At 35.5% G+C, this 18,429-nt stretch overlaps 1 protein-coding gene across 25 annotated transcripts in view, besides 1 other annotated feature; it reads right to left on the reverse strand.

The window, feature by feature from the left end:
- The window catches only part of IMMP2L (inner mitochondrial membrane peptidase subunit 2), an 899,849-nt gene that overhangs the window by 471,747 nt on the left and 409,673 nt on the right, over positions 1-18,429 (reverse strand). Inside the window, exon 4 of one of the 25 annotated variants that reach the window (XM_024446961.2) lies at positions 13,754-14,663. The exons of the other annotated variants lie outside the window; for them this stretch is intronic. Coding sequence (XP_024302729.1) covers positions 14,642-14,663 — 22 coding nt within the window. The 3' untranslated portion in view covers positions 13,754-14,641. Of the gene's footprint in view, positions 1-13,753; positions 14,664-18,429 lie in introns of those variants that run through there. 25 annotated transcript variants of the gene reach the window in all.
- Positions 1,409-1,609: a silencer, noted in NCBI's record as "peak6687 fragment used in MPRA reporter construct". NCBI's record gives its function as "represses an SCP1 promoter by STARR-seq MPRAs in K562 erythroleukemia cells {active_cell/tissue: K562}" and the evidence as "EXISTENCE:reporter gene assay evidence [ECO:0000049][PMID:32103011]".

Genomic DNA, 18,429 nt, shown 5'->3' on the forward strand with positions numbered 1-18,429 from the left:
GGTATCCATTCTATATTTTCTATAGTTTCTTATCATTGTGCCCTCCTAAGAAGCAAAGTTTTATTAATATTATCTAAGATAAGGTAGTCTAATTTGGATTATTAAGAGTAAAAAGTGCATTATGTCACAGCATTTTTGAAAGCTCAGTTTTGAGGATGCATTTTTATAGTATTAACTTATCTCTTCTGTTATGAAAAACATAAAATTTGGAGATATTTTTGCTATGAAATTTTATCAGAAGTGTTTTGGGGAACTCTGATACATGCATTATGAAAATAGTTATTTTTCAATTCTTCAATAATGTTTTGTTTGAAAAAAACTTTCGGAGATTTTCGCCTGAAACCAAAGAGAAAATTCTAAACAAAAAATAAATAGGATAAAAGCACATCACATCCACCTTCCTGTGACATTTAAAATACTCATACCTGAATATACTCTAAAAAGACCTCTTTAATATCCTGATGCTAGCTCCTAATTTAGTGGAGAGGACTCCATCTCACCACAGCAGATGTGTCCGTTCCATTTCACTATGGTATCAATAATAGAAAAGGGCCAGGTAGCCTCTTAAACAAAATATTTACTAAATATATTTAACAGAGTAATTTTCATTTTATTGATAAGGAAATTCTACCCCAATACTAGGCTATACTACTCAGGCCAATTGTTTCAGTGTGAATACTCAGAATATCAGGTAGAACATGTAAGTAATTCGGCACAAACTGTCATCTCATTCTGGAAAAAAATGAATCCAGTTTTAGCTTTACTGAAACCAGAAGATATAAAACACCATAATATCTATGAGACCAATGGCCCCTGATTTTGAAACTAAAATCAAATATGAGGATATTATAACACTCTACTGATTACATATCTATAAAGTACTTTTTAAGATATAAGACATACTCATACATATTATGCCTGGGATTTAATTTATTATCCATGCTAACCTACCTTGATGAATTATTGGTCATAAGGAAGGAGAAACTGAATAAAAATATTTTCAGACAAATCTGCAATCCCACTGAGTCTTTCCATTCCTCCAAAGTGAGCACTGTGACAGAGCTGTGTCTTTCTTAGAAGTGATGGGCCTTATCAATAAAGATTTTTACTGTATTGGGAAAAGCTAACCCTGTGATCTTTAAATACTCTGGCTTCAGAAAATAATTTTAATATTAAACCTCTTCCAAAGTTCTTGACTTGAAATCCCAACATTACCATCATGATGCCACATTATTATTTTAAAATACACCATTTCAAATATGAAATAATTTTTACATGTTAATAACTTAGTATATTTTATTGCAGAATTAACATATGCTTATTATACAAAATCAAGAACATACAAAAAAGAAGGCCTCATATTCTCCCTGTCTCCCAAATACACTATTACAAAAGCCTGTCATTCTGCCTTTGACAAACTTTATAATATTATCTCTTGACTCCACTATTTCACTCTTAATCCAGACTAGAGCTGCCCACACTTTCAAGGTATCATCAAAGACCTCTTATCTCAGAATAAAAGATGGCTTCAGTGCCCATCCTGTTATCCTCCTACAGCCCTCAAACCTCCCAATGATGTGACTGACAGACATTACCATTATATAGTAAATAGTAGGTCAGTTGCTTATATGTCACCCTACAATTTTTTTTTTTTTTGAGACGGAGTCTTGCTCTGTTGCCCAGGCTGGAGTGCAGTGGCATGATCTCAGCTCACTGCAACCTCGGCCTCCTGGGTTCATGCAATTCTCTGCCTCAGCCTCCCAAGTAGCTGGGATTACAGGCACCCGCCACCATGCCCGGCTAATTTTTGTATTTTTAGTAGAGACAGGGTTTCACCATCTTGGCCAGGCTAGTCTTGAACTTCTGACCTCATGATCCACCCGCCTTGGCCTCCCAAAGTGTTGGGATTGCAGGCGTGAGCCACTGCGCCCAGCCACCCTATTACATTTTTTAAAAGTCCTAGGAGTAAATAGATTTTTCCATCTCATGGTAGCCTGAGATATTTGTTTCTTTCTAATCTTAACCAATTCTATTTTAGAAATAAAAAAAAATGAATCTAATCTACATCCCATAGGGCAGCCCTGCAAGTTATTGATTATGCTAGCCTTTCTCTAAGTTTTGTTTGTTCCATACTGAAGAAACCCATGTCCTTAAAGCAATTCAGGTCACTCTTCTCTGGATATGATTCAAGTCATTAAAGTCTCTCTTAAAATATAGTACCAGAAATTGGATGCAGTCCTCCAGGTGTGCTAATCTCTAATCTCTGGAGTAGTATTAACCAAATTCCTGCACTATTTTCAAATGGAAGCAAAGCCAGCTGTAAACGGACAAAGATAATTCTACTTGATCCCAAATGATGTGGCTAACAGCATCATCAATATCATCATCACCAGCACTTAGGAAATGCTAAGCATGAACAGACATATAAACTCATTTAACCTCTATGAGAAAGATTCTTTCAGCAACCATATTTTATATTATCAGTAAGAAATTTCAGGTAACGAACTTTAAGGAACATCACTAGCAAGTTTTTACAGGTGGTAGTGACAGGGATTTGTTCTCCATGTTAAACAAATTGAAAGGTTGAAAGGTGGTTAGCTTGCTGTTGAAAGGTGGTTAGCTTGCTGTTATTATCATAACAGCACAGAATTAAGAATCTCACTACAAACAAACAGAAATGCATAAATCTAGAGGCTAACGATATATAGTCTTCGTCATGTTGAAATGCTGCAAAAATATGGTGGGTTAGTTCACTTTCTAGTGGCAATAAGGTTTGGTGGAAATGTGGTAAATTTCCTCCACCTCAGCTATTTGATAGCATTTATAGTGGTATAACAGAAATAAAGTACGCTTTATTTACGAGAAGACTCATTCTATATTCAATTTATAATAATAAGCATGCTGGAAGAGCCATCTGGATACCTTATAAAAATGGTATTTTCCATTGGAAGTAAAGAATTTTAATCAGTGTTAGTTGGTAATTATTCATTTCACCATTTCCTAATCATGTCAAAAAAAATACGTTAAGCCAGAATTCACAATTTTTCCATTATGCAAAAACACCACCATATTGTTTTATCTACTTAGTAAGATCATTTTTTTCTATTTCATACACTCAGACCACATTGCTCAAAATAAGAAAAGGCAAATATAATAATCAAGCTTGATAAGCCAAGAAGCAGAGCAAAGATAGGAAAAAAATAATTTGATTTGAGGAATAAAAATATTAAATTACTACTTCAATGCTCTGAATGATAAAAGCACAGTCAGAAGCAGTCCATTTCTAAAAACTAAGTGGTATTTCAACAGCTCTAACAAAGGAGAACAGAAACTAGTCTTGGATTTTTATGAGAACTTTAATATGAATGATTTAAGAAATTATACTTTAAAAATCTCATTCAGTTAAAGTACAGATGTATATGCTACAACTTTTGGTTTTGGTTTTTTGTTTTTAGACAGGGTCTCACTCTGTTTCCCAGCCTGGAGTACAGTGACATGATCTCAGCTCCCTGCAACCTCTGCTTCCCAGGCTCAAGTGATCCTCCAGCCTCAGCTTCCTGAGGAGCTGGGATTACTGGCATGAGCCACCACACCCAGCTAATTTTTGTGGGGTTTTTTTTGTACAAATGGGGTTTCCCCATGTTGCGCAGGCTGGTCTCGAGCTCCTGAGCTCAAAGCTATCTGCTCCCCTAGGCCTCCCAAAAGGCTGGGATTACAGGCCTGAGCCACCGTGACCAGCCTTGTGCTACACCTTTGTATAAACCTACTTTAAAATACAAAAAGGTACTCCATTCATTCTTTTCAAAAGATTTAGTGAATGTGAATAATGTCATATTGCCTAGAGTAATCTTGATGTTTTTGTTCCACTGGAAAAAAACAAGGTCCCTTTAGCTAAAGCTTTTCTTCTGCTATTGTCACTTCAGCACTAGCAAAACTAGGGTGACAGCTCATAAAGAAAATAACCAAAAGCTCTCACTTTGTCCAATGACGTGGCAGCCCTCCAGCACTGGCATTTCCTGCCCCAAATTAACTCCAGGGGCCATAAGATCAAAGTAAGAAGGAAGTAGCTTGTCTTTCTCTTTAGTTGTGGTAGCTACTTTGTATTACATAGGCAATATAATTCATTGTTTCTTATATAACCGCTTATGCTATTTTACATTGTACTAGGCATCTGCAAACAAACAAATGTTATTTCTTGTTCCAAGTTAGGTAAAACTTGTAAATAAAACCCTGCAAAATGGCTCACAATAAATCAAAATAGTCCTACAAGAAAACAGAAAGCTAGAAAAAGATTAGAGATAAGGTCCTGCCAATAGATAATTCTATTTTAAAAGAAAAAAAATCAGCTGAAGTCCTATTTGGTTCTCATGAACCTGAAAAGATAGTTAGTTGTTTTGCCAGAAAAAGAGTCCCAGACATTATTTGGTCACTTGCCTGGAATAGCTTGGCATTTCTGCACCCTCAAGTAATAAAACTTACTTGTAAAACCCTTTAAGGCAACAGAGATTGCCTGTATTTATTTTCTAGGAAGGGAAAATATTGAAAATTATGATGTATTCAAAGACCACAACTATAGGAGAAAATGCCATACTGCTAAATGTTTTTCAGTTGACATGATCTTTTAAATCATCTCTATTGATCCCTTTATTTAAGATTCGATTTGGCTATTGTGAGAATAATGAACAAATAAATGAATGTGATATCCATTTGATATCTAGTATTTCACCAAAAAAAAGGAATAAGCCTGGATTTTTTTATCTTTGCCCTATTTACATTGTACAATGAGGAAGAAATTTTGGAACGGAGCTAACAAAAGATCTAAATTAAGACACCATTTTAAAGCTCTGGGAATTACAGTGGCACTATTACCCAGAAGCAAAAATCCTAAATGATTCTATGAACAGGTAACAAACTACAAAAAACAGGTAACAAGGGCCAGAGACTGGACTAGGTTGGTATTTCTTTTTGTTCAACAAGTATTTACTGCCAGAGACTGGACTAGATTGGTATTTCTTTTTGTTCAACAAGTATTTACTAAGAAACTAAAATGTTAGAAGCTTCAGGGGATACAAAGATAGGCAACTTCCCTGAAATAATTGAGAATTATCTATGGTGGGAAAAACTATGAGAAAGGAAAGAGATTTTTTAAAAATGCTATAGCAATTAAGCAGCTTCCAGATATATTTTGGGAAAATTACAGATAGTAGTAATTAGCCTAACCCTGATATGCAAGTTAATCATCTCTCCCATCTAGAAAGTTGTTCTTTTTGTAACAGAAGACACATAAAATAGTGTCTATTCACTTTATAAAAATAGCAATAAACCTCAAATTCCTCAAGTAGAAACAAAATACATTTTCCTCTAAATAAAAAAAACTATTTTGAGCTAGGAAAAGAGAATACCTATTAAAATGTATTTTGCTTGCTGGAAATCTGGTTCAACTCACAATTTCCCAGCAAAAGGAAAAACTAGGATAATTCTTTCTCTGACAAGATTGCCTGTGCTGTTGGCAACACTCTTCAAAAACTGAAACTCTAATTTTTAATTCTACAGTTACCTCCTAGCCTTCCATGGTCTCATCTACTAAACCACAGTTAGAATTACATTTCCTACATATGTTATTTTCTTGGAGTTCAATGAACAGGACTGAAAATAAAGATCAGAAAAGAAAGAAGAGAGACTCAAATTAAGGAAACCAACTAAAAACAGTGAGACATAAGAACTAAAAGGCAAGGGAAGAAAAAAGAGACAGAGAAAAGACAGAGTTGGGGCAAGAAGGAAAGAGGGAGACCAAGACTCAGGGGGGATTTCAGAGGACAAAGCCTTCTGTCTACTTTAAGTATTAGCTTACTTGACTTCATTAAATGTTGGCTTGTGTCTATTATCAGCTGCTCTTTACTGCCCTGTAAAACAACAATAACAACAAAAAACTGGTTGGCAAAGGCAGATATGACATGAAGTAGCAATGACCTGGCTAATATGAACCTTTGGACAAGATCATGTCTTCCTGAGCCCAGGTGCATCAATACTGGATATTTTCTGCATGCCCATTCAATCTACAGGGTTCTGAAACCTAAATAAAATTCAATGTAATAGCTGGGTGCCTTTCAAAACACTATGCATCATTTACTATCATATTCACTGTTGAATAAACTTTGTAAAAACTGAGAACGTAAGACATGAGAAAGCTAAGAAATGTAATTGGGAAGGGCTAAATAAGTTAACAGGGCCAAGCCATTTTGGCCAGATGGCTTTTTGCAATTTTGGAAATATCTGAACTTCTCACAAATGTCACAGGATGTAGAACTGAAAATATTTCCATCTGCCCCAACCAAAGAAACTATTGCTCTTCATTCATGCAAATGTAATTCCATGCTATCCCCCAAGTTATTAAGACTGTTCGGCCATTTAAGAAGAAAAATAGTCTATTCTTCCACTGAAAGAGTAATTCTAAAGCCACTTAGGTAAATGACTGAGTGACAAAGCAAATAAGAAATTAATACATTTGAGAGAGCTGCTGGAAATAGTTTCTTCTTACATACTCTGCTTATAATAGAGGAAAATATCTATGAGACATAGTACAGAACTTGGGTGATGAAGTGGTTTAAGAATTATGAAATAATATGACTTTTTAAATTGAAAAATGAATGGCTAGTTGGTGAAAGAGTCAGGACTAGCACTCAGATCTTCCAGCTGCAATCGTCTCTACCCTATGCATTAGTGTCTGTAGGCTCTGGGGTGACTGGGGATGGAGAAAGCAAAAGAGAATCAATAAAATTAACTCAGATTTTTTTTTTCTGGTGTTACCACCAAATTCCATACTTATAATACTAATGTTTACTTTTAAAGTCTTTGATACAATTTAATTCCTTTGAAATAATACTACAAAGAATGTGAATTTAGCTCCCTTAAACCCCTCCACATTTCCCCTCCCAATCTTTCCTCAAATTATAATTTTATCACAATTTTTTGTTAAATCAACATTAATATATACATTATTATAAATTATTAGACCTGAGCCACATAGTATGCCAGGGTTACATTTCTTTCTTTTTTTTTTGTATAATTTTGTATTCCCTACAGATAATCACTGCCTTAGCTTTATCTTTTTTTAGGTTGCTTAATTTTCTATCTACCTACAATAATTTATTCCCAAACTGTCTATAGAATTATAAATCTGCAAACATCTCTGGTCTACTATAGTATCCTTCCCATCCTCTGTATCATTGTGGGTTTATGGGGGTTTTTATTCCTCATTGGCATTTTAGTGACATTTCAATGAGGACAGATGAACACACGTGCTCAATCAATCATATTTAACCAGGAGCTAGAGATGTTCATTCGTTTGTTTGTTTGTTTAAGAAATGGTCTCACTATGTAGTCCAGGCTGGTCTCAAAATGCTGGGCTAAAGTGATCCTCCTGCCTCAGGCTCCCAAAAAGCTAGGGCTACAGGTGTGCACCACCATGCCTGGCTAATTTTTAATTTTGTTTTTGTAGAGACAGGGTCTCACTATGTTGCCCAGGCTGGTATCGAACTCTTGGCCTCAAGAGATCCTCCTGTCTTAGCCTCCCAAAGTGCTAGGATTGCAGGCATGAGCCACTGTGCCTAAAGATCAGTATTCAATTTTGCATACATGAAAATCTGAACACAGGGTCAGGCACGGTGGCTCATGCCTCTAATACCACCACTTTAGGAGGCCAAGGTAGGCAGATGACCTGAGATCGGGAGTGCGAGACCAGCCTGGCCAACATGGTGAAACCTCATCTCTACTAAAAACACAAAAATTAGCTGGGTGTGGTGGCACATGCCTGTAATCCCAGCTACTCAGGAGGCTGAGGCACAAGAATAGCTTGAACCCAGGTGGTAGAGGTTGCAGTGAGCCAAGATCGCGCCACTGTGCTCCAGCCTGGGCAACAGGGTGAGACTCTGTCTCAAAAAAAAAAAAAAAAAAGAAAGAAAGAAAGAAAGAAAGAAAGAATAGAAAAGAGCTTAATTTGAAGTAAGAAACCCATGTATTATATATAATATCATAATATCAGAAGTATTACAAAGCTGCCTGCATAACTTTCATAAATAGTATCATTTTATACACATATTGAAGTAATCAGAAAAAGTGCAACAAGTAGGGTTCATTTTGATATTTTTCTTTCCTGAACAGGACAAGCAGATCACTACAATTAACACCTATCGTGAATTTACAGGGATTCAGGTAGAAAATAATTCATGTTAAACAGAGGTTCCAAACATCATTAACAGAGACTGAGAAATTGGGCCAGTATGCATGAGAGCACATATCATAAAGGTCATGTGTGTTAATGAGAAAAAGACTATTTATTAGCTTGCAATTTAAATACAAAGCCCTTCTCCCTCAATGGCTTAAAATGGAGCAATATCCTATACCTGAGGACAAGAAAAGGCAGTGCCCTCAATTAGATGAACAACTCTCACGGTCCCAAAACTTTTATTGTTGTCACTGAAATTCATCATTCTGATTTTATTTTTAGATAGTGATATCTTTTACGTTACAGACAGAAAGCTTGTGAATAGAACCCATCCTGTACTATTGTATACTTTTTTGGAAGTTTAAGAGACTATATATTTACTTTTACTCAGTTGCCAAGCAGCATATTTCCTAACTTTTGTGTGTGCTCCAATCAATGCTTTACATTTGTTCTGAGGTCAAAAAAGACAAAAATATTTGCAGATATCATGAAAAAAATCAACATGTCATTTAAAAACTAAAGACATCCATCTTTGGAAACTGCCATTTTATTACACAATGAGAAGAAAACAAAAGCATGGATTTCAAAAAGAGGTGACAGATAATTATGATACTGTATAAATATTAAATGCAATTGTGATGTTATAACTACTAAGAAGTAATTTAATTTTCTGAATACATATCTGAGGAATCCTACCCCCAACCCCCAACCTCTGCGCCAGGCTAAATAAGCGAGGTAAACACTCATGACACAAGGCTATGCAGCATTCACACTTGAGGTCAAAAATTCCAAAAATAAATCCATAACAACAGGTGTTATCCTAAAAGCACTGAGATGTTCCCCGTGAAAGACCAACAATTTTGGATTTTTAAGAAAATAAAGTAGAAATGCTCTATCCAAACACATTTTTTAAAACTCACCTTGGGTCATTTCACAAATATTTATTTCTTAGCAATCCATTTTCCTTTGCTTATAAATTCCTGTTTCACTGATTTCAAATGAAAGAATTCTTTTACAGGCACCTCTTACTAAAGCCAAGAAATGGAATAATACCTTTAAAAAAGATAACTGTAACTGTGGAAAGGCACAGAAAGTAAATATAAACCACAGTCAGTGACTGATCCTCCATGAGGGCCATATGAATCTCAGGATATTTATTGTGCTATCTACGTGAGAAAATGCATTCTCATTTTAAATAATAACACTAGTAATCTCTTTGTCCATTAGAAATAAACCAGTGCAGATACTGTATATTCAAAGTAGCCCATATGCACTAATCAATCATCTAACCAAAGCTTTAAAATGGTTAGTTTTCTATTTCCCTTATTCATTCATTACCCTACCCTGTTTGGAAAACTTTAAAAAATTATTATTTCCATCTCAGTGTCACAGATACACTGCAACATTGTCAAATAAAATGATTGTTTCTGGACTAACAAAATCTCTATTTTTCTTACAAGGCAAACCCATCATGTTGTGACAAAACCTACTACATTTACTAGAGAAAAGAAGAGCCAAAACTATGAGCACAAATAATACTTCTCTATGTCTCCCCAGTATTTGACATTAGTAACATAATGTGCCAGAGTTTCCCTGAATAACTGCAAGTTCCTCTTCCTACAATACTTCTGTAAATACACAATATGGCCACATTCAATTTAAACTTCCAGTTAGACAATATCTAGTCAATGTCTACCTCACAGGAATAGTCGTAAATTCTAGGAACATAGCAGTGAGCAAGATAGATCATAATTTCTGCCCTTGTGGATCTTAGAGTTCGAAAGTCACATAAGCTGGGAGTCACATATATTTGGAGAGTTTAAGGGAGAAATTATACCTTCCATAGAGAAGCTGATCATAATGCTCATTGGTACAGTAGCTCAAATACAGTGTGTCTATCTCAGAAGTGACAGGATCATCCTTTGTGTTCCTACAGTTTTCACTTCTTTTTCCCCTTTCTTACTATCCAAAATACTTACGCTTATTTAAGAGTTGCTGAGTTAAAACATATTAAATCCACGGGGGACAGAAATTCTAGGAGACTGGCCATATAAAAAACAGTAGACAAGAAATAAGTGAATGGATTACAATGAAAGAGATACCTCCCACAAGCAAATGAGGATTCTTGAGCATTTATTCAATAGATGTTTCTTAACTATTTATGTGCCAGTACTGAGTAAACAATGTCGAGCAACACACAGGCCCTAATGTTACTAACAGTCTTGCAAAGGAGAAAGACATTAAGCAAATGATCATTAAATATATAAATACAAACTGTGATAAATGTTATGAAAGCAAAACATGAATATTGTCTTAAAGGGGCCTGATCTGAACTGTAGGTTCAGGGAGGATTTCTCTGAGAAGATATTGTCTAACCTGGGAGAGTTGAGCTAAATAGGTGCAAAGAAGGAGGAAGAACCTTCAGGGTAGAAATGTGCATATGTTGTGTAGAGTTTGGGAAAAGCAAGGTAGGATCTACAACAAAAGAATATGTCTAGGTACAGTGTGGCTGGAGGAGAGGAAACTAGAGAATATGCTGAGAAATACAACTGAAGACATATACTCATGCAAGTATATGAAATATACTAAGGATTTGGATCTTCATCTAGCAAGAAGCAGCTTTGTGAACATATGCACATAAGTCAAAAGGGAATATGTGTAGTTGCCTCTGTAGAGAGGAACCATGGCTGGAGGACAGAAGCAGGAAGGAGACTTACTTGTCACTGTATAGGCTGTTGTGCCTTTTCAATTTTATCTTTGTATGTCTATTACCTATTTAAATGAAAACAATGTCATCTAGATATTTAACTCACTGGCTCTATTAGGAAGAATTAATTATCGGAGACCAAACAAAAGGCCATTGCTCTGGTCTGGGTAGGCCAAGCAGCAGCAGAGATAGTAAGAAGTTCAGAATGATAATGGATTTGATAATAAAATCAACAATTTGTTCCAATGGACTGCCAAGTAAGTAAGAAGATACAATAGGAACAGCATGTACCCTAGATGAGGCATTAGGTGAACTCTTCCCACTTGCTCTCAAGTGTCAACTGAGCATCGCGTCAGGGTGAATGCTGAGTCTGGTGGTTGCAAAGACTTAAGTAATACTAAGGGACTATTAGAATCATGAGCCACTTCTTACTAAGAAGCACAATTCTATGAAGCAAAAACTTGGGAGAAAAACAATGTGTATAACTCAGAGCAGTTAAAAATAAATAAACAAATAAAAACACTATTCCAAAGGATGCATTTGGCAAATTGTGCTGTTAAAGGCAAATGCTAAAAGTCAGCTATTCTCTGGATATGTTGGCTCCATTCATCATTCAACGCCCATTCAGAGTAATTATTGAAAAGTATGGAAGCTAGAATGCACATATACTGACTTAGGAGAGATTAAAGGAATACCAACAAAAACTAAATTTTGTCTGAAGGTTAAAAATGAATTCAGAGGAATATAAAAATAAGTGAAGAGAAGTTGTAATGTAATATACCCACAAATGAGTGCAATAGCTAAAATATCTTTCAGGGAACTACAAATGCTAATTAAAAACTTATAATTCAAAATAGATGGATCTGTGCTGTTCTTGTCAATATAACATGGTTTTTTATGAGGAAGGAAAGAGGTGGGGGAGGGAGGGGAGGAAAGGGAGGAAGGGAGGGAGGGAGGGAAGATTATCTTGTTTCTCTGATTTCTTGCTAGCTTTAAAAAGAGCTAAATATTATTTTTCTTTTAATATTAAATTCCCTTTCACTTATCTGGATCAAGAATGTCTTCTCAAATCCTCTCTCTAATCCAAGAAAAACACTAAAGAAAAATAAGCATACTTATAGGGAGTACAGAAATTGCCACTAGAACCCAAATGACAGCCTGTTTGTTTAGCTTAGAACCAGACCTCAAAAACTAATAGGAGAACAGTCAAACATCTTAGAAGTGCATTTCCAGCAGCCTAGGCAGAGTTAATATTAAATGTTGCACAGAAAGCAAGAGCCCCTACATCCTGCTCTATCATCTAAATTGTAAACTCCACGAGGGCAAGAACCAAGTCTGCTCTATGCCCCGGGTCAACACAGTAACAGGAATGTAAAAAGATGTTAAAAAAATATTTATTAAGTTAATGGATGAAAAAGGGAATTAAGAAAGAAACGTTTTGAAAAAAACAAATCGATATTGTTCTATCTGCAATTGAATTAGATGTGTTCTGGAGGCAGAAGCCTTAACTGGGTGCCAGAGGTAACACTGAGTTCGACAGATGCTGCTACTACTAAATGTATCCTCCATCTCCTAACATTTCTTTCATTGGCTCCATCTTTGTGTCATACGTTTCTTGGCTAAGGTCTTGGCTTTATATTCAAAATAATTAATTTGTTCTTCCTGTGGCTCCATTTTATTTCAGAGCTCTTCTATTTAGTTTTCTACTTTCACATTCACACTTTAATTTTAAAAGCTATTTCTTATTATCTGTTCCTTTTTCTTAGATGCTAATCTTGTTTTAGAGACTCAATATTCTCTCAAATTATTTGGAAGAATTTATAATTTCTATAAGTTTTCCATTATTCCCTAACTAAATTTTGTTTCCTCTCAGGTCAGGGGGCTGTTGTTGCTGCCGTTGTTGTTGCTGTTGTTGTTGTTGTTTTAAATTCAGTCCTATACATTCACTGTTTTGAATCTTCCTCAAATATCTTGTGATTGATGGTTCACATAAATCAATAAGAAATTGGTTTAATTAATATAAAGGTCTTGCATGGGACTTTTCTGAAATTCTTTATCTTTCCCAACGGTTTCCCTCCAAAATGAGAGCATTGACTGAAAGTTGTCTGTAGGCAACAGAGACTTGTAAACTGGAAGGGTTACATCAACATGCATGGAAAAATATGAGAACACCTGTTGGCAATATCTCTAAGCAGCCACATAAAAAGTGATTTATCCAGTAGGTCACTTTAGTGCACTCTTCTCTGAGACATAGCTCCTTTCTCCTCTCATTACTTTTCCACCATGGAGATTCAGACTCCTTAGGCTGAGTCCTCTGCTTCACTCTGGGCCTGAAAGCACATTAGTGGCTCTAGCCCTCCATAGACAGACTGTTTTAATTTTAGTGGTTGCGAGGCAGGAGCGACCACTTCTGGAATGGTAAAGTAAGGACCTCCAAAAATCTACTCCTCCATAAAAGCAACCAAAACACAAACAATTGTCAAAATAAACTTTTTCAGAATTCCAAAAGTTAAACAAATGCTTGCAATGTTCCAAGAAGAATTTATTCAAGAAAAATAGCTGAATCTTGCTAAGAACAGTGAGCTTTCTATGCTTTTAAATTGCTGCTTTGGGAAACAGTTTGGTAGTTCCTGAAAATGTTAAAAATACAGTTACCATATGACCCAGCATTTCAACTCCTAGGTATACACCCCAAGAGTACCGAAAACATATGTCTATGCTAAACCCTCTACACCAGTGTTCATAGTAACATTATTCATATCAGGCAAAAAATAGAAGCAGCCCAAGTTTTCATCATCTGTTGAATGGATAATAAAACGTGGTACATCTATACAATGGAATTTTATTTGGCAATAAAAATAAATGAAGTTCTGATACATGCTAAAATATTGTGGAATCTTGAAAACATTATGCTAACTGAAAGAATCCACTCACAATAAGTTAAATATTGTATGATTCCAATTACATGAAATAGTGAAAACAGGCAAATCTATAGAAACAGAAAGTAGAAGTAGACAGTGCTTGCTAGCCCTAGGGTAGAGGAAGGAATAGGGAATGATTGCTAGAGTGTGTGCGTTTCTTTTGGGGATAAGGACAAATGTTCTGAAATTCCATAGTGGTAATAATGTACAACTCTGTAAATATATTAACATTCATGGAATTACGTACATTAAAAGTGTGAAACCTACAGTATATGAATTATATCTCAATAAAGTTGTTGTAAAAACATTTCAGTAGATGACAGTTTTTACCTGGGGCAAAAATACTATTTAAAAAAGACATATTAAGGTGAGATTATTGCAATAATTTCTGTCTTTTAAGCTTCACAGAGGACACTTCACAGATTTATTTGCTTCTACCTTTATTCATTCTAAAATTACTTCTGGGAGTATAATCTCACAATTGCAAACAGTGGATGACATACGTGTATGTGTGTGTGTGTGTGTGGGTCTGTGTGTGTTACCAAATGAGTATATTAGTTTATTTATTGTCAAATGATTATACTTTGTTATGAAACACTTGAATACTAATAGTTCCTCTAAGTGCTTCATGTGGAATAACTCACTGAATGTTCAAAGCTATTCTATGAGGTTGGGACTATCATTAACCATAGGAAAAAAACTAAAACAGAGATAACTTAATGAGGCCAAGATCACAGATAGAGTAAATAAAATTTGAATCTAGACAGGCTGGCTCCAGAGTCTGTGCTTTTATCCACTTGCTGTGCTGCTGCTGTAATAAAAAATTTTAAAGAGTACGTTAAAAGTAATACAGTAAGTAGTTATGTTGAAGACATCACAAATATACAACACAGAGAAGATAAAATAAAACAGAACTAAAACCAATCCCTTCATGTTTTATAATAAGTTATTACAGCTTGGGATATAATTTCAGTGATAACAAGTTAGAAGTCAAAAGAAAGAAGATGTGGTCTGAAACTGTTGAGTGACTCAAAAAGTGGATCTAATAATGAAAAACACTGATATTGAAGATGCATGTAAAACACTGAAAGATTCTTCATGAAATATAAGAGCAGAAAAAAGTAATATGGTTGGCCCTTGAACAACGTGGGGTTTAGGGGTGTCAACCCCCATGCAGTTGAAAATCTGCATTTAACATTTGACTCCCTCAAAAATTAACTACTAATAGCCTACTGTTGACTGGAAGTCTTACAGATAACAGAAACAGTCAATTAACACATAAATAAACTAGTACTTACATATATTTTATACATTCATGACATACCTAACTTTTCTTAACTTTTTTGATATTGCTAGACTAATTGGTTCATCTGAGTTTATTCAAATTGTTGCAAATGTCCAAAAAATTTTCCAACATATATAGGAAAAAATCCACGTACAGACGGACCCCACAGTTCAAATCCACACTGTTCAAGTATCAACTGTTTATTTAAATAAGTATATGTGATTTATATAACCTACATAACAAAATTAATAAAATAAAATGTTAAATAGCTATTTGAGTCATCTACAATGATGTATATGAAAAAGTGGGAGAATCACTTTATGTTCAAGATTACCTTTCTTTGAAGAAAGAAGCAACTCATCAAATTTTTATTTAAAACATCCAAAAAACAACTGCTGGCTATTCTTATACCCCGTGAAGTAATACACTGACAGTTCACCAACAAATTTGGATATGTCAGGGAGCCAAACCTTAACAAAATTCCATTTTACTTTTTATTTTATTTCCAGTACTACTTCGTTTTATTTGACTTTGTCATGTCTGCCTTTATTATGCAGTGACTTGCAAGAAAACGTAAAATCTCAACCATGACATGAAAACCAAATAGAATATTATGATCTCTTTGTAGGTTTGACAATGTATTGCAATTTGACATAGGGGTTGACATAACCCACCAAAGATACATGCTCTCTATTTTTAATTTTTAAATAAGTCTTGTCATCGTATGTTCAAATCTTTATTCCTCAAGCATCTCCAAGACACAGGGTTTACTCTCATTCCTAGGCTGTCAGTCAAGGGGGTCCTGGTTCTGCCTCCCTGACAAACTTCCCTCAATAGCTGCTCCCTTTCCACTACAGGCAAATGAACTTCCTGGTATTAAAGAGTACATTACCTGCTATTACATTAAAGATCGTGAAAAAACCACTCATCTTGACAGTACAAACTTGCACCAAACCTCCAACTGAGTCCCTGGGACAGAGTCTGACAGACATTTGCTATAATTGGCTCTGCCACTGAGCTGGCTTCACAATTCAAACATGAAACAAAGCTAACTAAGGAGAAGCAAGGTTGAAGTGTGTTTTGTCCTTTGTTTTTCCTCCAAGCACTCAAAATACTCATTACTATAGAATTTTACGCTCTCGAAGTAAAAACAATTCTTATATAAATATGTAAGTGTGTCTACAGATATACATATGTATATATTCACTTTATGGCGGAAAATGCAAGCCTTATTGGCTATTCTTTTCTCAGAGAAATAAGCATGCCCTACTAATCTTTTTTGAGATTAATTTTCTCTTTGGTCTCCTAGCAGATTACTTCAGGTTACCTGCTTTTCTGCATGGCTTCCATATAACCAACTGTGCCATTTCATTAGCCACAGTCCATTCCTGATGCCTGGAGAGATTACAAGCACTGGTGGCTTTTATTCCATAGGAAAAGCTGTTTCCCACCAGAGAACTGCTCTGTCTGCCTGTGTTAGGGTCAGAATGTTCTAGAGAATACTGTCCTGGGATTCTTGAGCAAGCTGGCCAGTGTGACTCCTGTGTAACAGTGAACTATTATAAGCACTTGAAAACAGACTTTGAATTTTACTGATCTGTATAACATCTAGGCCACCTGCCAGTGTACCTGAGCATAAAGAAAGTTCAATCAGCATTTGTTGAACTTAAATAGTAATTGAGAAAGGGAAGGCCTCAGTTCTACTGATAGCCATTTGGGATCATACAGTTTATTTTTCATTCTTTTTCCACATCTTTAAAATGTCTAGAAAGATCTAACAACCAGCTTACGTGAAATATAGGGCACAGAGAAACAGGTTCAATGAAAATACAGGGATATAATCACCAAAATTCAACATGTGGGAAACTACAGCAAAATTAACCTGGTTTCTTCAACAAATAAATTGTAATGAGAGAGGGGGAGGAAGAGAGAAAGAGACAGAGACAGAACGAGACAGAGACATAAACTGACCTATGGAATTGAAACTATATTTAAGGGACATAACCAAATGTAAAATGTGGACCTCCTAATTTTACCAAAACGTAACATGTGGACCTCCTCTTTTGAAAAAACCAAATGTAAAAAATAAACATAACATTTATGAGTCAATCACGGAAATCTGAACACAGGGCCAGATGCGGTGGCTCACGCCTCTAACACCACCATGTTAGGAGGCCGAGGTGGGCAGATGACCTGAGATCAGGAGTTTGGGACCAGCCTGGCAAACATGGTGAAACCCCATCTCTACTAAAAGCACAAAAGTTAGCTGGGCGTGGTGCATGCCTGTAATCCCAGCTACTCAGGAGGCTGAGGCACAAGAATCGTTTGAACCTGGGAGGCGGAGGTTGCAGTGAGCCAAGATCGCGCCATTGCACTCCAGCCTGGGTGACAGAGTTTCACTCTGTCTCAAACAAACGAACAAAATCTGAAAACAATATTTGAGATTAAGAGAGTACTGTCGAAGTTTTAGAAGTGATAATAGTATAATAACTCTGTATGAATGACCTTATCCATAGATATTGATGGAAATACTTACAGATAAAAATACTATGGTGTTAGGGATTTGCTTTAAAATAATCGTGGAAGGGAGAAAATCGGTGAGGTTATTGAAGCTGGAAGATGCATACATGGTATTTTACTAGACTCTTCACTATAATTTAGTATATGTTCAAAGTTTTAATATGTAATATTAATTGCTATTAATTACATAATCATAATGAATTTGAAGTTTTCAATGCTTAAAATCCATACATTCCCCTCCCTTTGAGCACTTAATGTTACCACTGCATTACCGTTATTTAAACCACCTTGCCTCTTATGTATAACTTTTCCTTAGGCTCTTCCTCAATTCACCAACAGTATAGTACTCCCTTTTCCCACTGAATCCTGAAAACATCTCTGTTACTGCACACATCACATTTTAGCACTGCATTTGTTTATTTCTCACACTAGCAACTTCTTAGTAGAACAAATTTTGAGAAAGAAAATCTTAATTTATTAAGCATAGTATAATAGAAAAATAGTTACATATACCCAAAGTTATTCCTTTGTCATCCTCCCTAATAAATGAGATTACTTGTTTAAGCTTCAGCTCAGTCCATAAAACTCTACCAGAACAAAAGCAGATGCTAGCAAGATGTAGTATCTACTCTATCCCCAACTCAGCTCCTCCTCATTAATAGACAAAAAGGCCATTATTTCATCTTCTCCGAAGTTTTACTACAAAAATAATGTCTATTTACTTTCTTCTAATCCCATCTTCTCACTTTCTCTTTTTAAATTATTATCTATC

The sequence above is a fragment of the Homo sapiens genome, chromosome 7 (genome assembly GCF_000001405.40).
Source record: "Homo sapiens chromosome 7, GRCh38.p14 Primary Assembly".
NCBI classification, from domain to species: domain Eukaryota; kingdom Metazoa; phylum Chordata; class Mammalia; order Primates; family Hominidae; genus Homo; species Homo sapiens.